Here is a 25,690-nt window from a genome sequence, read left to right on the forward strand (position 1 = left end):
CAGATGAAAAACCAATAATCAATTCATTCTTTGGCAAGTTGAGATAAAACTATGAAATGTCTTATAAAACCAAAACCCTAATAAAGCAAAATTTACCAGTTTATTATTAAGATTACAAAAGAGATCCAGTGTCTGCATTCATATACAGCATGAAAAAAAAACCACATTTTTAAAAACACACAGAGGTATCAACTGAAAGCTGATTCTCATATAAAAACAGAACTCAGAACTGGGAGGACTACAATTTAGGCAAATTTTGAGACTGGCTTTGTCCATGGTTGTCTGATTTATTTCAGTTGTCACTTCACAAATGCACTAAGTCTTTATAAATTGGCTCAACTCATCAGGGCTAAATTACATGTGTTTTTAAAAGGTCTACCAACTGACCCTAACCTAACTGCCTTGTGCTCCATGATGTTCTGGCTCAGGTGGTCTCAGCCAAGCAGGCAATTTCTTATCTCCCAGGCTGTCTCAAACCTTGATCTTTTCCAGTTGCAAGCCACTGGGCACTCATCATTTGTCTCTCTTGGAATTACCCACACCATGCTGCCAACTTGTATCTGACTCCTCCTTCAAAGCCATGCTCAACATGTACAGTTGTGTTAAGTAGGTCGTCAGCCTGCCCAAATACATATCAGCATTCACCTACCTTCCTTTTCTATGACGGCTTTGCTGCTTTTCTCTTTTCCCATGTGTTTACCTCCTTCTCCTCTGATATGTTTTAGATTTCTGTCCCCATGCAAGTCTTATGTTGAATTGTAATCCCCAGTGTTGGAGGTAAGGCCTGGTGGGAGGTGATTAGGTCATGGGGGCAGATTTCCCCCTTGCTGTTCTTGTGATAGTGAGTTCTCATGAGATCTGGTTTAAAAGTGTGTGGCACCTCCCCCTTCTCTCTCTTCCTCCTGCTCTGGCCATTTAAGACATGCCTGCTTCCCCTTTTACCATGATTATAAGTTTCCTGAGGTCTTCTCAGCCACGTTTCCTGTACAGCCTACAGAATCGTGAGCCAATTAAACTTCTTTCATTTATAAGTTATCTGGTCTCAGGTACTTCTTTATAGGAGTGTGAGAACAGACTAACATATCCCCTAAATACTTAACAGCTTTGACCATCTTCTGCCTTTATGTGGAAGACACCATGGAAATTTAACATTTTACTGGCAGTTCAGGGCTTTAATCAAGAAAATGTTCTAAAATTAAATTGTGGTGACTATACTGAAAACACTGAATTATACTCATTGAATGAATGAATGAATGATATGGTATGAGAACTATATCTCAATAAAGCTGCTTTAAAAAAAGTGTTAAAAACAGACTATTAGAAAAATTTTATTTTAAACAAATTCAGAAATCCCTAGTCTCTGAGACATTCCATGTTCTCCCATCTTCCCAATTAAGAAACATAAGCTCTAAGTACATTTGACTTGCTTAAATCCTGTGCACAGAAAGGCAGATCTAAAAACTGAATCCCTTTATACCCTATTTTTAATATCCTCTATATCTTTGTCCTGCTATATAATTTAGAAGTACTGTGTTACAGACATTGAGCATTTGGAATAATTTGCAACACTGAAGGTCATTAAAAGGCAAATAAAATATAAGACATTTGAATATCAAGCCACTAGCAAAATCTCTGTGATCCGCAGTTCACCTCTTCAGAGATGAAGAAGTTGTATAGCCTAATGCCTCCTTCGAAGAAGGCTCCCTTTTAAAACATCCTCCCTACCAGGCACTCTTTGAGCATCAGCAGAAAGTTCCCTAATTGAAAAAACATGTCATTCCAGTATTGGGCAGCTCTGTTTGTTAGAACATCACTACATCCCACTGGAATTTACCTTCTCTAAGTTCACCAGAGTTCTTCTTTTCTAAAATTTCCCTTCAAATACTTGAAATACCCTATTAAGGAAATTCTCACTGAGTACCTACTATGCACAGGACAAAGTACCATGGGAGATTCAAGAATTAGGCAAACTGCTCTGAAAAAGGTTGTAGTCTAATAGTGATAAGACAGGTTCACAGCTACTATAACGTAAAAACTGAAAAACATGAAGGGGATACAAAGCACTACATTTTGAAACAGACTATTTGAGTTAGAATTCCAGACCTAAGACTAGCGATGACTAGCTATGATCATGGGGAAGTTACTTAACCTCATTAAGCCTCAGTTTTCTTATCTGAAAACTGGGTACAGGAATGTCTAAATTACACAAATGTTGAAAGAAATTAGAGGCAATGTTTGAATATGTATACACATATATATACACACACATGCACATATGAAGAGAGTACGTTCACAAATATGGAAATGATAGCTGCTTGTGGTATTAACACTACCGTTACTGTCTCATCATCATCTTCTCCAAAAGAAACACAAAATGCCATGAGTGCCCAAAGGAAAGATATCAAATCTCTGTAAGACAAGTAGAAAACATCACAAAGATGATCATGATTTTCCATCCTTTGCTGTCTTTCCTTCTACCTGAAAAAAATATTTCAATCATACTTTATACAAAATATCCTGGCCTCTGTCCTCTAGATTCTTCCCCTTTTGTCAAAATTTTCTCATACCGTATGCCAAAGACAGAACACAGCACTCAAAATGTGATAATTACTCATTCATTTACTAAGTCTCACTAATTCAACAGACGTTTCACTACCTTCTATGTGCTAGGTACTATACTAGGCTTAGAGATTTTTTTTTTAATGAGTAAGAACCAGTCCCTGTATACAGGAAGCTGAGAATCTGGTAATGGAAATGATTAAGTATTTATGATAAAGTGATCTTTTAATCTATAATCACTATGTAAGTATCAAGAAGGTATGTGCAAATTTCCATGAAAATTCTCAGTATACCAAGACAATCTTGCCAGACCTATTTATGATATTTAAGAGCATATGATTTCTATGAACCTGTGAAAAATCATTCTCTTTTTATTCTGGTAACTGTAACCATCTTTTTCTCTTTGGGAACTGATCTGTGTGATGCTGAAAGGAACTGAGAATTACAGTTTGGCCTCCCCAGCTACAGGAATTTGCAGGTGAACTAAGACATCCAATCAAAGTATCCAACACTCCTGGAGAGAATTATTGGTTGGCTATGGGCTCATGATTCAAGCAAGGCCAATCAGAGTCTTTTCCGAAGCTTCAGTCAGTGTTTGTAGTATCAAGAGCTGTGAGGATACTAGTGGCTTGGGTGGAGATTACAGTGAGCATCTTGCAACACCGGAAAGGGCTTGCCTGAGAAGGAAATCAAATTGAGCCAAGAATATTAGCATTACACAGCAAGAGAACATCTTAAAATAATTTGTTCTATATTGACTTCCCAGTTAAATGAGTCAACAGGCTCCTGCCTCCTCCCCTCTCCATTCCTCAGTTTTACATTGGTTTGAGTCAGGGCTCCCATCCAATTTCTGAAACATATTTTTAAAATTCATTACTAGAGAATGTATAATCATCCCCAAGCACCCATTGAAAGGAAACATGTGAATCATGTCCCACAATAGGAGGGTGGCGGGGGGAGACAAACACTGCACAGGTTACTCTGCCTCAGTGTAATACCCAAAATAAATAAAATCTTAAGTCTTTTCTGTTTACTAGCTCCCAAACAAAAACAACCTTTTCTCCACTCCCTTTTGTAGTGGATATGAGACAACTTTTGTGGATATGATAAACAAATGAGAAACTTACTGTTTTTAACCATGAACAGCTTAATTGAAAACTATTCTTTGTATTCTTGTGGGGGAAGGATTTTCCCCACTTTAAATAGCTGTCGCATTTTTTATTTGGTGAGTTAGGTCTTTTAAAGCTTGGATTTCCCTGGAAATCTTCTTTGCAAGTAATTATTTTCTCTTTTCTCAGTGCTTTTATATCTGAGAGTTTCTTTCACACAAATAAATTTTGATTTTACTAATTTGAGCTCATTGTTCAAACACACTGGAGTCTTTCTGAATCTTAATTATATCATTTTTATCTTTATTGATTCACAAATTGATATACATATTCTTAATGTCTTTATGAAGTTAATCATTTTTAAATAAAATGTTGAAAATAACTCATCTGACTTATATTCTTCTTTGTGTGAGTTACAGTATGTATAAATGACTTGCTATATTTATATTCCTATGGCAAATATGTATATAAATATATCAAATATATATATATACAATACTATACTCCAAGTTGATATTGATTTATCAAATCAAACATTTTATGTATGATTCTTCAATTAGTCATATATCCACTTAACCATATCATTTAGTCTACAATTCTTTATCTTATCCATAAGGAAATCATGAGATGCTCTGTCAAATATCCTGCTAACATTAAAACACATCTTCTCTTAACTCTTGCCCAGTGTCACTGTTACCTACATAATATAGCTGAATTTCCACCCTGCCCTAATTCTGCTTATCTTTAAGAAACAGGATGCCTGTGATAAAAAGTTCCCTTTGTAACCAGACCAGCTGAGACTGGTTAGAACCAAGATAGATGACCAAATGACTTTAAGGATCTCAGGTTTCGTTATAATCTCACAATTTTATTTCCATACTAAGTGGCACTCCCACCAGTGCCATGACAATGGCCATGACAATGGCCCAAAGAAGCCATAAAAGGACAAAAAGGAAGGCAGCACTCTAGTTCCAGGATGTTTACCGCCGATTTCTGGAAAACACATAAATATTCCTCCCCTTGCTTTTCATGTCCAACCCCTTCATTAGAGAAATCCTATATTTTAACTCCCTCACCCCTCACTAATAGAGAAATTGATTTTTGAGCCATGCTCCCACTTCTCAATTCCATGACCCTCGAATAAAGCTTGCATTGCTTGACATTCACTTTCAGCTTCATGTATTTGTTTCATGACACTCAACAGGGAAAGATTCCATCTTCTAGGGGACTAGGTTTGTTGGTAAAATCCCTGATCAGTATTCTTTTGAGTTCAAACATCAAACACTGAATTTGTATATGTGCTTGTGTGCACCTATATAAGTGTACCTCATTTTATGTAAGAAGTGGGCACTAATTGTTTTAAACAAAACATACATAAAAATTTCAACTCAGTACTTAAGATAATTTTGTAGTGAATGTTTATTGAGAAGTGAATATTCTTTAATTTATCTATGTTATACATCTCTGTTTTGCATATACTAAGCTTTAATTCAAGTAAGCCACATTTAGGAAACCTCATTTATTTACCACCGGGAACAATGTCATATAAAAATGTGTTGTCTCCTTGAGACTTTCATAACCTAAGCATGGGCCAAGAATACCTAGTAATTCTCCATGTTTGTTTACTTCTCTGCATCTGTATAGTGCCTTACACAACTTGATATGTAGTAAGCCCCACAAATATCTGGTGAGAGAATGCCTTACTGTATACATTAGAAGATTTAAATCCTTGTATCTCTTCACCCAATTCAACCTGGTTTCCATGTTTTAAAATGGCTCTTTAAAGCCACCATTTAATTCAATGTTGCCAAATCCAATGGATACTTTTCAGCCCTCATCTAGGGTGACTGTTCAGGAGTATCAGCCTTCTTAACCACTCTAATTTCTGCAAATACTCTATGGCAGTAACTCCCTTGGTTTCTCCCACTTCTCCAGCCATTTTCCTCAGGCACCATCCCTGTTCATCTCTCCTAGCATTAGCTTACTTCTAAGCCCACTCTATGATCTCCCTGCAAACTTTTACCCAACCCCAAGGCTTTAATTGCCAGCTATTTGCTATAATTCTCAGATTCACATAGCTAGCCCAGATGCTCTACTGAGCTCCAGACTGATGTACATAATGGCCCTTCCAATATCTCCTCTTGCCCCATCTCACAACTTGGTCAAAACTGTACTCATGGTCTTTCCTTCCTCGCCTCCAGACCTTCTCTCTAACCAAATAGTACCTCTACCAACCCACCTTTAACACTTTCCTCCCCCTCCATCTTATCAACCATCACATTTTGTGAATTTTACTTCCTATTTCTCTAATCCATATTCTTCTGTCTATTCCCTTTACCATCATTCACTTCCTTCTTCTCTCACCGGGAGAAGGGCATTATGAGACTTCTAAGTGTTCATTCATATCCTCTCTAGTCCCCTTCTAATCTTGTATATAAAACACTGCCAAAGGGATCTATATGAAGTATAAATCCAATCACATTGCATCACTCTGATACCAAAAAACTTGCAGTGATTTCTAAATGCTCTTAGGACAAAGGCCAAAATTCCTAATATGGCCCTATGAAACCATGCCTTTTCTAGCAATAGCTTATGTCATTAACTGCACCTAATGCAATCCCTTGCCCACATCCCCACATTCTAGTCACACATCCTTTTAGTTCTTCAAATACACTATGCTCCTTCCCATGTCAGGTCTTCACCATCCCGCTCCCTCTATCAAAAATGCTCTCCTTCCTTGGCCTTGCCCAGTTTTAAAAACAGACTGAGGCCTTCCCAGACTGGGTAAGAACCTCATAAAATTCAAACTTCTCTGCTGTAGCACTAATCCCAATTGGAAATAATAATTCATTTTATTTGATTGACTGTTTATCTCTTCCTCTAGAGTCTAGACCAGTGGTTCTCTAAGTGCTGAGATCCTGGACCAGCAGAATCAGAATTACCCGGGACCTTCCTGGAAATGTAAATTTTCAGGCCTTCCTCCAGACCTACTAGATTAGAAAATCTGGGACAGGGCCTTCCAGGTGAGACTGATGAACACTAATGTTTGACAGCCACTGCTCTACATCTATGGAGAAATTTACGTTTTTCTTCTATCCTTAGCTCTGCCCTCCTTACCCAGTATTCTGTAAATAACCAGTGCTCAGTAAAGATTTACTAAAAGTATGAATGAGCAAGCCATTCCACATTTTTCATGATGTTTATAAGAATCTCTTAATTAGGATTAGAATAATTTCAATTACCAATTAAAATTTTCCTGAAAAACTTCCCCCACAGGCAGAAAGAAATCTAAGCAATCTATTTTAAACTAAGATTCAAAATAAATACAGAAAACTTGTAACACTCCTATGTCATGTCGATGGTAATGTTTGGAATCTATATGCCTCAATAGCTGATTTCCTTGTCAATCAACTCGATCCTCTCCAAGTAGGGCAAAATAAGATCAAAGAGAACATAACAGGACAGAGAGAACCAAAACATAGTCATTGAACAACCCGAGAAACATCATTAAACCACTGGCAAATCACCAGGCTATTCTCAGCAAGAATAAAATATCTATTTATGTATTTATATAAAGAGACAGGTCTTGTTACACTGCCCAGGCTGGAGTACAGTGGCTATTCACAGGTGCCATCATGGCACACTGCAGCCTCAAATTCCTGCCCTCAAGCAATCCTCATGCCTCAGCCTCCTAAGTAGCTGAGACTACAGGTGCATGCCACTTTACCCCACTAAAATGCCATTTTAAAAGATGAAACCAAACAAATGAAAATGTTACCACAAAAAATTTCAAATTCACATATGCAATCTAAAGTTCATTACATATATTATTTCACTAAGTCCCCATTGCTTTACTTCTGAAGCTAGAAACATTTATCTTGAAATGTCTTAAATCACTTTTCTTAAAAAAACACTGAGTTTATAAAGTACTAGCACATTGTTTTCTTCTATACCAAGAACATGTTCAAATTTCACTCAGACACAACAGAAAAACATAATTTGTGTGTATGTGTGTACACCGCATGCCTGTGCATACACCCATATACATATATGTGTCTATGCATATGTGCGTATTCTGCATATACATTTAATATACGGTCTTGCATCCATTAGGCCCAGGTCAAACAGATTTTGTCACACTACTTACTGCCATTATACTCATGGATGTAATTAACTAATAAAAATACAGCTTTTGCATATTTTCATTGTAGATAAGACGAGATCCTATTTTACATTAGATCCCATTCCTTTAACCCTCAGTAACGATGAACTGATTATTACATAAAATAAACTAAATTGACTTTTGCCTTACTTATTAATAAGGCAGGTTTAGCCAAGAAAAGTTTATCTAAACAAACATAATCCAAATTACTTTTCAATTCACCTTAATGGTACCTCTCTGCATATATTTTCTAAAAAATAGCCCTTATTTGGCATTATGATAGGACTATCAGGACCTTACTTTACAACTCCTTGTCAGTTAACAGCTGTTAGTTTGAGTTACTGTTCTTACTGAAAGTAATAGTTGTACTTCTTATCATTGCAATTTGCCACTAATTTAAACTAGAATGTACTTGCTCTTAACAATTCAAAGTAATATTCCTTAAAAAAACTTAAGGACCTAAGATAATATTAATATAACAATCTAGATTAGAATCTAGGGATGCAAAAACAAGAGAAGAAAGTAATAAATTCCCTGACATCTATATATGCTTTCCAAACTAAGTCAAGAAAATAAATGTCATTATTTCAAAGATGCAAACATAAAGAAGCAACGCTCCATAGCAGCCACTTTGATCTCAGTTTCCTCTCACTGACACAGGCTGCTGTAGGCTAATTCTTTAATTAAGAGGAGAGCAGGTCAACTGCAGAGCTCATGTGTGCATTTTTCCTCTGGCTATGTGCCATTTATATGGTACTTACTTGCATTTTCTCAATGCAATTACACAGTAATCTGCCATAACCGAATAGCCCATGGCTGCATGGTTTTTACTGACAAAACATACTGAGTAACCAAATAATTAAAGAGAAGTTATAAGAACTTTCCATCCTGTGAGTCACACTACACATTTTAAGGCTGTGCTCTCTCTCATGTTATTACTTCTGGAAAAAATGTAACTGTTAAAAGTAGCAGTAATTTATTGAGCACTATGTGACAGGCACTGGGCTAGGAACTTTACATTAAATATCTTGAATGTTCTTATAGCAGCTTTATAAAGTAGGTGCCAATATCATCCATATTATACAAATAAAAAAATTGAGGCCTAGAGACATCAAATAAGTTGCCCACAGGACTTAATGGTATATGTGAAATTCAAAGCCAGGAAGGCAGACTTCAAACCCTAAACTCTAAAATTTCCTCTTTACACTTACATACGTGTGTCATAAATATCTCTCACGAACAAATTAGAGTCTGCTCAAATTGGAAAGAAGGTTGCAAAAATATGGGATGGAGTTGATGCAACACTGCTGGTACCTTTCCTTCTTCATCACATGGAGTATGGATCTGGAAATAGTCTTTTGTGGTACAGGGAGGGCGCTCTGTACACTCACTGGATCCTTCCTCTGCAACATAAAAAAAGCGTTTCAGAAATGGGTCAATTATTTTGCAACTCTAAGAAAAGGCAAAAAAGCAAAACAGAAAAAGCAACTAAAAAGTACAAATAAACTTACCAGGGCAATTTAGGTAGAACTACCTAGGTCTAAAGAAAATAAATGCCTACATTTTTATTTTCCCTAGAGCAATAAGTGTTTCTATGATACACATGGAGTAGTATATCACAGTTTTTCCCAGAAGATATTAGATTTCTTCCATCATCACTATACATTGGAAATTTGGAACAAATTAAAAGTTTCTATATACGTCTCTACACCAACAAATCATGTAAAAGTATAAACATTTTTAGATTAGTATAAACATATCCATAGCAGCTACCTGTGGGGTGTGGAATAGAAAAACAAATCACAGACCTATACTGGGGAAAGTCATGCAGAAACGGATAAGATGTCATATTTTATCCATTCAACATCAATTCACTCCAGCACTTTGGTTTCAGGCACCACTGCTGTCATACTTTATGGGTGACTTCTGGTTTATAAATGTACACTTGACCAACATACATTTAGAAAGAAAAAAGCAGAGTATAAACTAGTTCTACCTGAAAATTGAGAGTCGTCTTTACACCTTATACATTCTTTGGCTCCTTTCTCAGAATAGGTGTTTCTGGGACACACCTGGCAGTTGAATGAACCTGGTTTGTTGCTGAATGTGCCTGGCTTGCAAGGAAAACATTCTGATGTGTACGCCACCCCTGTGCAGTAATGAAAAACAGAGCATGGGAGGGGGACCCAATACCAATAAGCAAATCAGCACCTACTTCTGCTTCTACCCAGAAGTGAGGGAGATATATGAACAGTAAGGTCAGCCCAAATCTTTTATCTTATTCATCCAGCACTAAGAAAGCATTTATTGTGTACAAGGAACTGCACAATCAAGTCAGCAAACAAATAAGAGATGAAGATTTCATAGAGGTATAATACTTGTATTAACTGAGCAGTCAAAAGACAACTCCACTAACTCAAAAATGAGATAAACCCTAAGGTTCCCTCCAATTCTATAGGGCTATAATTATCTGATCCTTATGGTAACCTGTTCCCTTTTTTTTCCACTGCTTATTAAGTCACAGGTAAGACCTAGGAATGGCTTGACTTCTCCTCTGGTTTGTAATTCCAGTCTTTGCCAGCAGATGTCCTAGTGACTAATGAGTTAACACATTGTTCACAGGAACAAGCCCACAATGAACATATTAAAACGTAAGCCAAAGTTTAATAAAGGAGAATCACTGCTTTAATGAAAAATACTCCTAATTGAGAATGAACCATGCCAGGGTTCACCGACTGCTCTCCTGGGCCAGAAATTACCCGGTTGGCTCAGAGAAGCATAAAAGGTTTAGGAAAGAGTCAGGTCAAGATGTTTATTGTTATTTTTATGGATATAGCAGTGACTAGGTCATCAGTTCCCTGGTAAGCCCAATGTCTGGCACAACAGACATTTCTTGGAGGAATAATGGGGTCTTATTAACACAGAGACATTTTGTTTTTGTTTACAGACATCTAAAATTGTCATCATGTTTACTTTTTTTGCAATGATTAAATAATTTAGTTCAAGGGTACAAGAAAAAAAGAAAACAACTGTCGATTTCTTGGGAGTAAAACCAGGGTCTCCAGACCTATATGATTCCCTAACATATTAATTTCTGTTCTATAAATCTTTGAGCCAGCCAAACCAAAACTTTAATAAATATTTTAACTAACTGTAAGATGTGACTGGTGACTACTAAAACAGAATGCCATGAAATACCTTCAATTGTGATATTTTTTACCAGCACAGGCTTGACCGCCTTAGAACCCATAAGGATGCCTGTAGTTCTCCAGTAGAGTATGTTTGTGCCTGATTTCAGCATTACCTATAAAGAGAAACATAAAGGCACTTAGGGCAGATAAGCCATGCCATTTCCAAAAGCTACTCCCTTACATACTTTTTCAATCCATATAATAAAACACCATTAATTTAAAACCCACAGATTTAAGTCCACTGTTAATTCTGACCTAACCTCCGCTGAAGTTTACACTTTCTTAAAAGAAAAAAAATGGAGTTTGCTAATCCACAAAATACATTAAACAGAAAAGAAGAAGAAATCTTCAAGTCTAAACAAACACAAAAAATGATTCTCAAACCATCTGCATGAAGTCTTAGTTTATATTTAAAAGGAATCCATTTTAGAGGGTGAAAGTCCCTCAGCCCACTTGTATATTTATAAGTTGCCACTATTTATAAGATCTTTGAGTTCTGAAAACAAAAGGCAACAGAATGAGTTTGTTTCTTTTTAAAAATATATTTAATAAAAATACTGCTACAGTAACAAGAAAAAATAGGAATGTTCTTAGGGATAATCTGATTTAACTCTCTTACTCTAGAACATTAATAATACTATATGTAGTATTGGTTTCCTTTGCTACTGGAATATTTTGCTAATTATAAAATCAAACTAATTTTCTCATAAATTTCATGTTCATACAGGTAAGTGAACTAATTTTAAGAGTTCCTTGCTTTCTTATTTACCCCCCTTATTCTTCTATACAGTCTCTGGCTGGACAAATTCAAGCTGTATAAAATTACAATCCACCCAACTATTTCAGTGAAGCAGTACATTAAGTAAAAGTAGTGCATTAAGCACTTTCCCTTGTATTAAGCCTTTTTAAGTAAAAAAAGTATATTTATTTTTAAGGGTTACTTGTACCTTCAAAGCCCAGCTGACTGGGTGTTAAGGTATACGGATCTTAAATGTTATTAATATTATTCTCAGGTATACAGATTTTTAAAAATATTCTGAAAGGGTATGTTGTATTAATCACCCAAGGATGAGGTACCTGCTACAACCACAAAGACAAGGATTGATGGTCACTTATTGAAATAGAGCTTGATCTATATTGTAGGCACTATATTAGGCCCTTCCCACATATCTTCTGATTTAATCATGCAAGATTTTTCCTATTTTGCAAATGAAAACATCAGACACAAAGAGATTAAGCAAATTGCCTAAAGAAACACAACTATAAACCGGAGTTAGATATTAAATCCATGTCTCTCTCACTCCAAAGAGATGGTGCCTCAAATAATAACAGATTCACTGAATTGTTACCTGGTAATTGCCTTCAAGCATTTAAGGAGCTGTCCTGTAAGGAAGCAGGCAGTTACTTTACTTCATGTAACCAGAGAAGGTAGAATTTTAACCAATGTGTGGCAAATAGGTAGGAGGCAGGTTGAGGCTCCAAAGAGATATTTTGTGATAAACAGAGCTGTCCAACAAATGGAGACAGCACAGTACCCAACAAAACAAGCTTGAATATCACTTGTTGGGCACAGCGCAGAGAAAGATAAAAGGAATTCACAGATCCTTCCAATGAAAAGAGCCACTAATTCGATCACATATGACAGGCACATTTGTAAACTTAGAAACTCAAATGTTTTGTATATTAGTTTTGAACAGCCTTCTTTCTCATGGATGCCCCTTTGAAAGGGAGGAAAATTAGACTACAATGGGAAGGGGAAGGAAAAGGAAACTAAGAAGAAAGAAAAAGGTAGGAAAAAGACCCTGAAAATTGAAAGCTGAGTCCATGAAGCTAGGGGTAATTTTTTCCGTAACCAGAAATCATCTAAATTAATAGTTAATTTTGATATTTTTTCTTAAAATATACTTTTCTTAAAACGTTATGAAAGGAAGGGGAAGTTGGGAAAGAAGAAAAGGTTGGGGAAAAAAAGAAGAAGGAAAAATTGGCAAAGAAGAAGGAAATACAAAGAGACTTACAGAATGAGAGCCCCATTCTCCATTGTCTGTAAGTTTTACCCACTTGTCAGTGGTGGTGTCCATCTCCTGGCACTGATCATTTTGAATCTGTGGATTAAACACAAGAGCCCTAGTAAAGTGTCTTGAATAACAGCTTTAATTAAATTCTGTACCCAGCACAGACTGCAAGAACCTCGTTCAATACCTTCTAAACAATGGCCATGAGTAATTCTCAATAAGTAAACATACCGAGACCTCTGGAGCCTAAGTGACAACTGCATAAGACTGAGAGGTTCTAAGTAAACTATCTTCATCATTGTAACAAAAAGCCTAGCTCATTAGAGAGAGGAATGTGGGAGAACACTGACAATGCACACTAACACTGTGACTAACACTGACAATGCACAGAAAGGAGACAAAGTATAAAACAACTACCCAACTTACCCAAACTTTTTCATAGCTTGCATTCACCATGCAGGCCCAATAGTATAAAAATAAACAAAGCTGTTCTTTATAATATTTGCAGCAGTAAAATTTTAAATTAAAAATAAATAAAGTCCACTTTGTTTTCCATTCCCTAGGACTTAATCCAAATGCAAAAGTAAGTGGCTATGGCCAAAGTCAAAGTTCCAAATTTTTATTTGGGGGTAAATGGTAATCATTTGCCATGCCAATTCAAATGATTACAGATATCTTTAACACCAAACACCTTTTGCTTTCCAGGCAATTCTTCCAAAATGTCAAGGGGTTGGGACACTACTTTTCCAGGTCTACAATGAATACAGAGACATCAAAAAGTTAGGCCACCTTTCCAATATTGCAAAACAGCAACAGAGTAGAGTTAAAATAAGATCTCATCATCTATATTCCCACCAAAAGAAATGGTTCTTCCTTTCATCTCTAAATCATTTTGTTTCTTCACTCCTCTTCCCAACCAATTTACAAATATTAAAATGTTCTCCTTAAGAGCTATTCCCTAAAGACTTACTAACTAAAATATAGACCCTATTGCCATCCAAATACCAGAGAATATCAGCTACTGAGGGTACTTACTTTAATTGAATTTAAGTGTCATATTCACTTTATAAGCATAAGGACCATTTTAATGCAAGTGTTAAGCTACTTAAAAGCAGATGTGGACCCTGAATATACCTTTAATGGTCAACGTGTAGATAAACTGAAAGCTTTTTTTATCACTGAAAGCAGACGTCATATGTTATCTTGACATTCTACTGGCATTCTGGAGACCTGTAAAACCTAAGTCTAATCACTTAGTCTCTCTAGGCTTCAGCTTCATCATCATTTAAAAAAAAAAATAGAAGGGCTGAATGAAAGTTTCATATAGTTCCAAAATTAAATACTTTGTTGCTGTCAATTATGCAATGCCCATATGTACAACTCTCAGAGAACAGCATATTTCAATCTACAAACACTTTCTTTCCATTAACCATTAGTATGATGACCATGAAGTTTTGACCTTCTGAGTCAATAAATTGCAACCTCTAAAGCTGAAACATCAATAGAAGAAGGAACATGAATTTGCCATCCCTTTTCAGATTATAACCAGAACAAAGGCATCGCTGACAGGAATTAATGAAACTTTATGCCTTAAGGGTACCTTTATTGACATCTCTCAAAGAACTTATTGGGCAATACAAATCTAAACACTTATTCTCACAATTAGATAACTGCTTTGCTTCTTAACTTTATTTCAGTTTTAGCAATGTTGCCAAAAGTATCCAATGAAACAGGGAATTGTTCACTCTCAGAAGGATTTTGCAAACTAAATGCAGGTTAAACATAAATCTGTTTGAATGTTGCTTAACATTTTAAACTCATCAAAAGATATTAGTACTAGGAGACTCCTTAAAAGATATTGTCACATAATCTACTTTATAGAAGTGAATGCTTAGTGCCGGAAGGTTCACTTAATTGCTCAATAACAGTGTTAACAATTACAGAGTTGGAACTAGAGCCAGAATCTCTTGACTTCAAATCTAAAGCTCATATTTCCATGAAAAATCTCTCTTGCTACCAAACTTCTGATTTAGAAATTCCCATTTCCAACAATACAAATTTGTTTTAAAATTTTTAGTACATTTGTTTCTGAAATCTGGACTGCAGAAACATTTTTCAAGATAGTCTCCCATCTATAAGCACAACACACACTTGGTTTGGTATAAGAAGTCAATCTGAGAACATTTGCTCAAGCATTTGTGTCATGATAAATATTTGCTAGATTAGATACTGTTTATTACTAATGGTTAAGTAACTTTAGTGGTAACAGCTTATTTTGTTAGATGATTACTTTATCTTATCTTCCGTAATGTTATTTAATTTCTTTTCAAAGACATCAAGTATCCCATTCATTGATGTTTTTAGACTGTACTAAATTCACAGAATCAGAAACATGCAGCCACTTCTACTTCTGAAAAAAAATTGCTCATAAATACACTTAAATAATTTTTGTTAGCAAAAAAATACTTGAAATTGCAAAGAGAAAAAAAACTTTTAAGTGAAAACTAAAATTGGTTTAAAAAACACAGTTTTGACAGAATACTATCTGTAGCTACTAAAAGTAATGTAAACATGAATCTTGGAGGAAATATTTGTCACACAAAAAGTCTAAACCAAATGGTTATATAATGAGCATAACTAAAAGTTAACCAAGCCCAATGTTATGCTGCAAGGTGAGATCTTGGAGGTAAAGAAACAATATTAACCAGGAAACAAAATATTATAAAAAGAGATTAAAGTTTTCTTTTAACATCAAAAGGTTCAGTTAACACACACACACAAAAAAAAAACTGAGGAGGAATAAAGTGGAATGGGAACAACTGACTAAGGGAAATTTACATGAATGTCCCTTAAAAAGTAAATTCCAGAATACAAAAGGTCTTACAAAGAACTCAAAGAAGATGTTGTTGTCGACATACTGGTACTCAAAGAAGACATAGCCTGACTTCTTAAGGTGCACAGCATAGATCAAAGACACCGTGCAGTCATCACGATTAGATTCTATGTAGTTTCCACGAGGGATCCAAGAAGAGCTGTGGAAACAAAACCAAGAAGCACTTTACATTAATGTTCTGAAACCTCTTCTATTCACAAAACTATGTAACTCAGATTCACGAGTAGTTCCATCAGCAAAGTACAGCAGAAAACACCAGAAGCTTTTCCAGACTCAAAGGCCAACTTTATTACTGAGAAGAGGTCCATTTCTTATGGCAAATAACTTCGTAAATCTTTTTAAGGTTATATGATTAATCTGCTAAGAAATTGTTATTTTTCACCCAAAATTTGATTACCAAATAGATGATAACTAATTTTAGTAGCCTTAGATGGAATTATTCTTTCAGATATCTGCAGTTTTATTTGTAAACCCATACACATGGCAAATCTATGGAAGGGGAGAAAGAGCACCATTAATGATAAATACGTAGATTAACATATAAAGCTATATTTTTTCACCTTAATTTTTTAGGAAGCTGTGTGTCATGTGAAATGAACTTGTCAGTGATGGACTTGGCTTTGAGTTCCTAAATCTTTGTAAGGTTATTTTAAAAGCAACTAATTATTTAAAACATAATACCATTGTATTGTAGGGTTTATAACATGTTTCTAAATATATGGCAATAGTATGAAGATAAGGGTATAGATGTAACTATGCTGTTGTAAAATTTAACATTATATAAAGGTACAATAATAACTCTATGTTACCATAAGGATGCATACAGTAATTTCTAGCCTTTGCAACCTGGGGTTAGCAAAGATATCCTAACATATGACCACAGCAGAAAAAAATAATAAATTGTATTCTTTCAAATTTTAAACTTCTGCTTATCAAAGGACACTATTAAGAAAACAAAAAAGGCAAAAACCACAAATTGGGAAGAAGTGTTACACACACATGGAGACGTGTGTATGTGTATGTGCACATACTATATATTTATTATATAAATATATACACATAAGAACCCATGCCCAGAATGTACAGGAACTCCTTCAGCTTAATAATCAAATGACCAAAAAAAAGTAGAGAATGGGCAAAACAATTTGACTTCACAAAAGTTAATAAACACATGAACAATAAACACATGAAACATGTTTGACATTATTATCCAGCAGGGAAATGCAAATTAAAACAAAGGGATACCATTTCTCACACACACACACACACACACACACACACACGTGTGCATACACTGGAAAGCCTAGGGCTAGAACAAAACAAGACTTAACAATACAAATGTTGGTAAACATGTAGAATAACTAGAACTAAAATATACTACTGGTGGGAGTCTACAATGATATAACCATTTTGAAAAGCTCAGACTTTTTAGAAAGTTCAACATACATCTCCTATATGACACAACTAATTAAAGAGAAATAAAAAGTATGCAAAAGTGGACGGAGTTTTGCTCTTGTTGCCCAGACTGGAGTGCAATGGTGCGATCTCAGCTCACCGCAACCTCTGCCTCCAGGGTTCAAGTGATCCTCCTGCCTCAGCCTCCAGAGTACCTGGGATTACGGGCACCTGCCACCACGCCAGGCTAATTTTTGTATTTTTAGTAGAGATGGGGTTTCTCCATGTTGGTCAGGCTGGTCTTGAACTCCCAACCTCAGGTGATCCGCCTGCCTCGACCTCCCAAAGTGCTGGGATTACAGGCATGAGCCACCGCCGCACTGGCCCAGACTCAAATTTACACTGAGAAAATTACACTAGAAAACACTACATTGAAAAACTTCCGCTTACTCGATTTCTTTTATGCATAAACTATTCCAGGCAGAAAAAGAAGCCTTGTCAGTATCTCCTGCCCACCAAAACAAAGATCTGAGGTCCCACAACATCCTACTAGTACCTTCCTCTAAGGAACTCTTTTACTTAAAACACACACTCTCTCAAGGAAATAATCCTATTATCGAGAGATTAAAATAAAGAAATTGGCATCATTTGGCAAAAAGACAGCTAGAGTGAAAGGAAGGAAGAAAGGAAGGGAGGGAGGGAATGAATATGCCTTTCAACACAGCTAAATAATTCCCCAGCATCCTTAGCTTATGGTAAAAATGTGGGGTTCCTGAGAGGCTACTCTTGTCAGGGGGTAGCCAGAGCCCTAAAGTTGAATTCTCCTAAGCAAATCCATATGAAAGGAAATGTTACATAATTAATACAAGGGAACAGGAAGGGATATAGCTCAAAGACAAACATTTTGTTTTGTTTTTTTCAAAACAGTTTAACATTTCTCCAGCTTTGTCATATGCAAAGCTAATAATCCCCTATAAAAGAGGTAGGAATTAAGCAAAGGCGCTTTCCACCTTAGGTACTTAACCCACTCTCTTTTATAGGAGATAATCAAGTGTCTAAATGAAGGTTATGAATTCTTCCTGTCAGAGGAAAATAAAAAAACCTGAAAGTATCTGTTAAAAATCAGAAAAAGGTTAGTAGAAACACCAGTGGCTTAAATGTAGTTATAAATATGAGAAAATTAATTTGCTTCTCTAACAGCTTTATTGCATTTTTGCATACAGTGTCTATTATATCCTGAGGGCAATGATTTTAACCTCATGAAAACTCATTGCAATGACCGTCCAAAAAACATGATTCTTTGCAATTAGCTTATCTATCACCACAAACAGTACCAAGATTATCCTCATCTTCTTTCTGGAAAAGAGCAACTACTTTCTTCTCAAATATTCAGTTAAGAGCCAAAGGCTGCTTTGGATTCTTACTTGTTACAGCCGTCTGGCCTGCTGTCAGAAGGGCCCACCACAGTGTCCATGAATGTTGCGATGTTAGAAAATCCTGCCGGCAATTCATCCCATTCATCAAATTTGATGCCACTGCCCAAGGAATAGGTGCCTTCACCACACTTACTGCATACCTGGTTCTTCATTTCTAGATACTCTCCAGAAGCACAGGAGAAAGCTGGAAGGCAGAAGAATGGACAACCCATTACTTACCCTCCCATCAATTTCCTCCCCTTCATGCTGTCACCAGAATTATTTTTATAAAACTCTGATTGTGCCACACTCAAACGAAAGCCTTTCAAATTCCTCTTATCACTACATGCATTTCACAATCTGGTTCCAACCTATTTTTCCAAGCTCACCCTTTGCCCCACCCTCTTCCAGCCAAAACAGAATTCCTATCATTCCCAAAATATTTCATCCTCTCTCCTGCTGTTGTGGTCTTCTTTCCTACAAGATAGATGTTGGCCAATCCTACCTTCTCTACATGGAACACTCCTGTTCTCAACTCAAAAACCACTCACTTCATAACAGATCCCTTCCCCTGGCCCAATGGGCAGTCAGTTGTACCTCCCTTTATGGTCCTACAGTGCACTTGTTATAATACCTCCATTAAAGCACTTAATTTATGCTAATCAGTGGATAAGCACATATTAAGACCACTTATAAGTTGATGTGAGATTTTGAGCTTTAAGAAAACAAGGATCATTATTTTTGGATTCCTAGCTGTATCAGGCACATACTAAGTCCAGATAAAATGCTGATCCAATGAGTGACAACTAAATATAAAAAGGGAAACAGGAAAGCAGTGCAATAGTTGAACAGGTTATCTCCACTCTGAAACCATGAGCCCACTTTTTCAATATTCACACCAACCTAGTCATCTCTACCACCTATATCTTATTTCTGATGTCAAGCTTTCTGCAGACTCTGAGAACTGTACCCAGAGATACTAGATACGACAATGTGAAGAATAGTTGACACACTACAAAAAAAGAAAGCTAAGTTATTATTCCTTCAACAAATGCAAATCAACATCCTCCAAGTACATGGCTATGTGCACGATGGTATTAGTGACTCCAACCTTGGAAAAGGGCTTTCTAATCCTTTAATCAGGATATTAAAGAAACAAGAACAAAATGAGACCTCCAAATTACCCAGTGAAGAAAAACAAATCTCCCAGCAGAGTGTAAAGCAGCAAAGTCTCACATTTAGGTAGATTCTTCTCTTTTAGAATACATTAGAAAACTTAGCCAGAAATAAAAATCAGCTGATTTTTAAAAACTAATTAAAGAATTAGAGCTAAAATCCACACACATCTACTTATTCGCTGAATTAATATAATGCTTTCCTTGAGAAAACCTTAAAGATGCTGTACAATGAACTTCTACATTCAAATCAACATCCCCAAATCAGTAAAACATGAGAAAATAAAAAAAGATTATGCAAAGAATGTGGCATGCTGGCTACATAGTCAAAACTGTCCTAGGACAAGGCTGTACCACTTCCTAATTCTATGACACTGAGTGAGTTATTTCACCTCTCTAGGCCTTAGTTTCTGTCTCTAAAAAATGAGATAACAATCACAATAGGTACCTTTAAGGGCTATACTGATGGCAGCAGCAGCCAGCCTGGAGTGACCACTGCCATGAAGCCGGCTACTGTGGGGGAAGTGCGGACCAGGCAGCACGTTCCATGGAGCCATTGGGGCGGGAGGAGGCAGAGCCCCGTCCTCCCAGGCAGACTCAAGCTTCCCTGTGCTCTTGGGGGCCAGGAGCAGGCAGGAGCTCCACCATCCTGAGCACAGCTGCAGCTACCCAAGCCATGGCTGTGGACCAGGGCATCTTGGCACTCTCAGGGGCCCAGGAAGAACCCCTTCCCCCACAGGCTTGGAGACGTCTGCTCCCCCTGCCTGGCCTCTCCCCACTCCTGGCACCCCTTCCAATCTCAGAGCAAGGTTGGGGCTGAGCCTGGGCACTCTGCTAACATACCAGCTTCCTGCCACCTCAGCCTCCTCCAGACTTTGGCCACCAACAAGCACAGGAGAGAGACTGAAGCAGGGGCTGAAGGCAGCTTGGCACTGGCCTGCAGGCACTCCTTGACCGAACAGCCTGGGTGCCCAGAACAGTGGCAGGAGGCATAGAGTCTCCTGGATGGAAGGGGATGGGTCCCACAAAGCCCCACCTTCAAGCCAGGGAGGCTCTGAAGCCTGGGGGCTGGGTTGCCAGTCAGTGGGCCAGAATGGGAACTTGTGGTGCTTTTTCCCCCCAGACTGCCCATGGCCGCCCATTGACCAATCAGCACACACTTCCTCCCTCTGGCTGGCTGAGGCCCAGGCCCATAAAAGCCCTGGACTCGGTTACCCACTCCAGGGTCCCCTCTCTGCTGAGAGCTGAACAGTAGCTGAGACACCCTGCTTATGAAGAGGAGCTAGTCACTGTGGGTCTCCTCTAAGCTATTCTGTAGCTCAATAAAGCTCCTCTTCACCTTGCTCACCCTCCACTTGTCCACATACCTCATTCTTCCTGGATATAGGACAAGAACTCAGGAACCACCAAATGGTGGAGCTAAAAGAGTTTTAACAAATAGGGCTGAAACATGCTCCTTGCTTGCCACGTTGCAGGTGACAAGAAGGAGAGAAGAGCTGTGGCCCTTTGGGGATACCAGACCTGGAAGCTCCCCAAGTCAAGGCTGTAACAGCCTCTTTGGGGCTCTGTAGTTCCTGTAACAGCCTCTTTGGGGCTCTGTCTCCAAGCTTCTGGGTGCCACCATATTCCCCGGTGCCAGCACAGAAGCTGCTTGTGGCATGCTTGGTTCAGCTGCAGCCTCACAGGGAACCAGTGCCCATGCTGTCACCTGGAGTTGCTCCCCCCACCGCAGCTGTCATGCCTGGCTGTGCATGGTAGCCTGAACCCCATGCTCACTCACACACCCCTTGCCACTCTGCACCTGGCTAGCCCTTGGCCAGCGTGGGACCCAGGCCAGTAGAGTGAGCCAAATGCAGCCTGGCAGGCCAAGGAGGCAGAACAAGCCTGGTGGGCCTGAGCAAAACTCAGGCAAAGGTGCCACTGGCCACAGGGGTTTCCAGCTGGTGAAGTGACACCCCAAGAATCCTGTGACCATACTGAGAAAATAAAATATAGTATAAGGTGGTTAGTGCCTGGCATATAACAAATGCTCATTAAAGCTATTATCACTACCAGCACAACTAACAGAAAAACACAGTTATGGAAAACTGCTTATTTTCAATGGTCTATGGATCTTCTAGCAAACTCAGAATCAGACATTTGCCTAATATGATAAATAATAATATCATAAACCAAGACCCTACAGTACATTAAATCAGAGGTGAGCAAACTACAACCTGCAGGGGAAATCCAGCTCACTACCTGCTTTTGTAAATAAAGTTTTATTGAAACCCAATCCCGATCATTCATTTACCTACTGTCTATGGCTGCTTTCACACCACAATGGCAGAGTTGAATAGCTGCAACAGAAACTGCATTGCCCACAAAGACAAAAATATTGACTTCCTAATAAAGTTATCTTGGAAGACAGTTTAGTGTCCAAAATGGTATTTTAAGTTGATTATCTATAACTTAATAAAAGGTAATATTTTATGATATGTTGTTATAAAGAACTCTAAAATATAAAAAAGAGAAGAATTGCGTTTGTGAATCTTGTCTTCTAAATACAATGATGCCATTTTGGAATGTTCACTGCCCTGTTAATTAAAATCATAAAGAATATTCCCATTTCTTTCCCAAGTGTTTCCATGAAGTCAGAAGGAAAACTAAGAGATAAAGTTGAAAGTGAATATAATGGATATTTGGTATATACCAGGTGCCATGCTTGATACTTTACAAACACAGTAAATTCTTGTTATTCGCAGTAGTTGTGTTATATGAATTTACCCCAAACACTAAATTAATGAATACTGGACCATCACTCTTATGGAAAATACAGGGTTAGGTTCCTGGGAACCTTTGGTCACATCACCTTTGTCAACCAATCAATACCTAACCTTGTTTAAGTGTATTTCTTTTTAAAAACATCTGATTTAGTATATGTTGTTAATTCGTTAATGTTGAACTCATGGCCAACAGAACTATAACTCATGCCTGAATAAAGCTTATCTAACACATGTATTTTTCTCTGAAAGGCATAGCACAGCCCTCTTGTACTTAGGAACACTAGCCTTCACATTGGCACTATACTTGGAGGGCCATTTTAAGCAGCAAAATCACCCAAAAAAATAACTAAAATGCTAAACACATAGTACTAAATAAACCACCAAAAGGACACTTGTTTACAGTATGAGAAAAGCAGTAAGAAGTCAAAGTGTCACCTTGTTCATTCATGTAGTTGGGTGACTCAGATATCTCACCACTCTGCATATGTCTGCAAATAACTATGAAAGCATTGAGTGTATTAATTTGGGGGTTACAAATAAATTTTAGCAAGTAGTCAAATTTGCAAATATTGAATCCATGAATAATGAGGATTAACTGTGTTTATAGTAGACTGGTGAGGGAGGAAGGGATTATGCCTATATACCAGATGAGGAAACTGAGCCACAGTGCATTTAAATAACCTGATTAAAAAGGTTAACTAGTTAACAGTTAACCAATGGCAAAGCTGAAACTCAAATTCTGGTCTGTCTGATTCCAAAGGTGGGGCCTCAGAGAAAATTCAGTTCAAAAAATTATTACAACCAATACAAAAAGGGCAAACAATTCCAACCAAATTAATCATCATACATCACATCATTCTTCATTCCTATCCTGAACTGTTAATGTTCATGTGCATTATACAGCAATAACCATTTTAGCAATAACCTCATATTTCTTGTGGATTTTTAATGTACTACTCCTAAAACATGCATTAAAAATATTTTAGCAAGTTTCTATCTTCCATAAGTCTAATGACTTTGCCTATAAAAGGAAAATAATAACAATAGCTATCTCAATGAGTTGTGGGAATAAAGGAGATATATCATATAAAGCATTTAGCATATTACCTGGCATGCAGCACACAATAAATATTAAATACAATTATTAATAGTTTAGGCTGGACTCAGTGGCTCACACCTGTAATCCCAGCACTTTGGGAGGCTGAGGCAGGCAGACTGCTTGAGGTCAGGAGTTTGAGACCAGCTTGGACAACAAGGTGAAACCCTATCTCTACAAAAAACACAAAAAGTTAGCCAGGCGAGGTGGCGCACACCTGTAATCTCAGCTACTTGGGAGGCTGAGGCATGAGAATTGCTTGAGCCTGGAAGACAGAGTTTGCAGTAAGCTTAGATCATGCCACTGCACCCCAGCCTGGGCAACAGAGCAAGCCTCTGTCAAAAAAAAAAAAAAAAAACCCACACAATTATTGATAGTTTAATTCAGGGACATGGGACACACATCTCTATAAGAACTCTGCCAGTGGATTACATCCTTCAGATTAATTATGCAGTCAAATTAGTTGAATAAGTATAGGGCCTTTAATAATACAGAGGAGCTAGTAAGTCTAAAGCTTTTCATAGTTTAATCATTTGCTACTCCTCAATCTTTTTCATCCTGGAAGTCAGGCTTAGAGACACCTGTCAAAGGAAGAAAAGAGCCACACTTTCTTGGTAAACACTGTTTACTCCACAAGACTATGTCAACAGAGTTAGCACTGCTGACTTCCTTTGATGGCCACCAAAACTACCTGCTTTTCCTTTTATCTTCCATCCTAGCCTCATCCACTCTCTATGTCAACACTGCTACCTTGGCATTTGTTCTTTAATTAGATCATCAGGTTTTTTAATAATCTTAAAGACTGTACTATTTTCATTCAGTTTTTTTAGCATACAACATAGGAACCCTTCAACAAGCAGTATGATAGACAGTTATTATTAATAGCTGTTGTTAACTGTTGTTAGCTGTTTTGAACATGAATTTACCGTATTTAATTTGAATCAATTAGTCATTTCTAATTTTTCTTCTTCAACAACCTTGAAATCTTAGAGAAACTGAATTAAAGATAGGCAAACTCCAAAGTTTTTAATGAGAACAGAAAGACCTTATTTGCCTAAGGTCTTAGGCACTACTTAACAGTGGCCTCAAGTATTTCACAATAGTTTACCTAAGCACCCAGTGAAAGAGTGATATTTAAAAACCCAACATCTTGAAGTCTAAACTGTAACCAAGAGGTCATTTGCTGCACTCACTGTTCTTTTTATCAGCCTTATGCCTCTTCTTTTCTGACATTTATTTCTGCTACTGTGAATCTGTAAAGGTTTAAATATGCAGGTGTGAATAATCAGATACGGAAAAAGCATTTATATTAGTCCGTCCCCAAGTAGCAAATATCTTAGGCAATTTACTTAACCTCTGTGCTTATTCACACTCCACCATCCCCTTCTCCCTCCTAGGACTGCTTATAATAATCCAATGTGAGACTCTGGAAGCCACTCTGAAAATAAAGAGTGTTGAAAATACAAAGCACTGCTATGATCATGCAACTACCCAGCACAATATGCCAAATAACTGTTACTGAATTGAATCATTTATATGCTGATTATCATCTATGATTTATGCCTAACAATAAAGAACATCTATTTTTAATCATTGTACCACAAGGCCACATAGTTTTGCTTTTTCTTCCTCCAGAGACCTCATGTTTTGAAAGACTATGGCTGTCAATTACATTTATTCATAATTTACTCATTTTTGCTCTTTTTAATCAAAGTTTTTATTACTAAAATATGTTTTCTAAACAGTGAACAGCAATAGTAAGTAATAATAAACGGATTTTCAATTTACTTGTTTAATGAGATGTTAATGATATAGTGAACCTATGCAAACTTATTACAGATAAATATCTGGGAACAACATTGTGGCTTTCTCAGAGCTTCCATGATAGTCTAATCTAGACTGATCTTCCTCAAAATAA

The 25,690-nt window shown here is 37.2% G+C and overlaps 1 protein-coding gene across 10 annotated transcripts in view, besides 5 other annotated features; it reads right to left on the bottom strand.

The window, feature by feature from the left end:
• The window catches only part of ELAPOR2 (endosome-lysosome associated apoptosis and autophagy regulator family member 2), a 182,749-nt gene that overhangs the window by 52,076 nt on the left and 104,983 nt on the right, over positions 1–25,690 (bottom strand). For 8 of the 10 annotated variants that reach the window (XM_011515918.3, XM_011515921.2, XM_017011843.2 and 5 more), the window contains 6 exons: positions 18,746–18,941; positions 15,918–16,065; positions 13,037–13,123; positions 11,029–11,134; positions 9,827–9,979; positions 9,145–9,233 (listed from right to left, as the gene is read on the bottom strand). In XM_011515918.3, coding sequence (XP_011514220.1) covers positions 9,145–9,233; positions 9,827–9,979; positions 11,029–11,134; positions 13,037–13,123; positions 15,918–16,065; positions 18,746–18,941 — 779 coding nt within the window. Of the gene's footprint in view, positions 1–9,144; positions 9,234–9,826; positions 9,980–11,028; positions 11,135–12,370; positions 12,405–13,036; positions 13,124–15,917; positions 16,066–18,745; positions 18,942–25,690 lie in introns of all 10 variants that reach the window. The other 2 variants (NM_001291991.2, NM_152748.4) reach the window with 2 other exon arrangements.
• Positions 20,001–20,538: an enhancer, noted in NCBI's record as "H3K27ac-H3K4me1 hESC enhancer chr7:86578298-86578835 (GRCh37/hg19 assembly coordinates)". NCBI's record gives its function as "activates a minimal SCP1, AML or CMV promoter by ChIP-STARR-seq in primed H9 embryonic stem cells {active_cell/tissue: H9 hESC(primed)}" and the evidence as "EXISTENCE:reporter gene assay evidence [ECO:0000049][PMID:30033119]".
• Positions 20,539–21,075: an enhancer, noted in NCBI's record as "H3K27ac-H3K4me1 hESC enhancer chr7:86578836-86579372 (GRCh37/hg19 assembly coordinates)". NCBI's record gives its function as "activates a minimal SCP1, AML or CMV promoter by ChIP-STARR-seq in primed H9 embryonic stem cells {active_cell/tissue: H9 hESC(primed)}" and the evidence as "EXISTENCE:reporter gene assay evidence [ECO:0000049][PMID:30033119]".
• Positions 20,773–20,962: an enhancer, noted in NCBI's record as "active region_26224". NCBI's record gives its function as "activates an Ori minimal core promoter by ATAC-STARR-seq in GM12878 lymphoblastoid cells {active_cell/tissue: GM12878}" and the evidence as "EXISTENCE:reporter gene assay evidence [ECO:0000049][PMID:35858748]".
• Positions 21,083–21,132: a silencer, noted in NCBI's record as "silent region_18339". NCBI's record gives its function as "represses an Ori minimal core promoter by ATAC-STARR-seq in GM12878 lymphoblastoid cells {active_cell/tissue: GM12878}" and the evidence as "EXISTENCE:reporter gene assay evidence [ECO:0000049][PMID:35858748]".
• Positions 21,424–21,493: an enhancer, noted in NCBI's record as "active region_26225". NCBI's record gives its function as "activates an Ori minimal core promoter by ATAC-STARR-seq in GM12878 lymphoblastoid cells {active_cell/tissue: GM12878}" and the evidence as "EXISTENCE:reporter gene assay evidence [ECO:0000049][PMID:35858748]".

Source organism: Homo sapiens, chromosome 7 (genome assembly GCF_000001405.40).
Source record: "Homo sapiens chromosome 7, GRCh38.p14 Primary Assembly".
Taxonomy (NCBI): domain Eukaryota; kingdom Metazoa; phylum Chordata; class Mammalia; order Primates; family Hominidae; genus Homo; species Homo sapiens.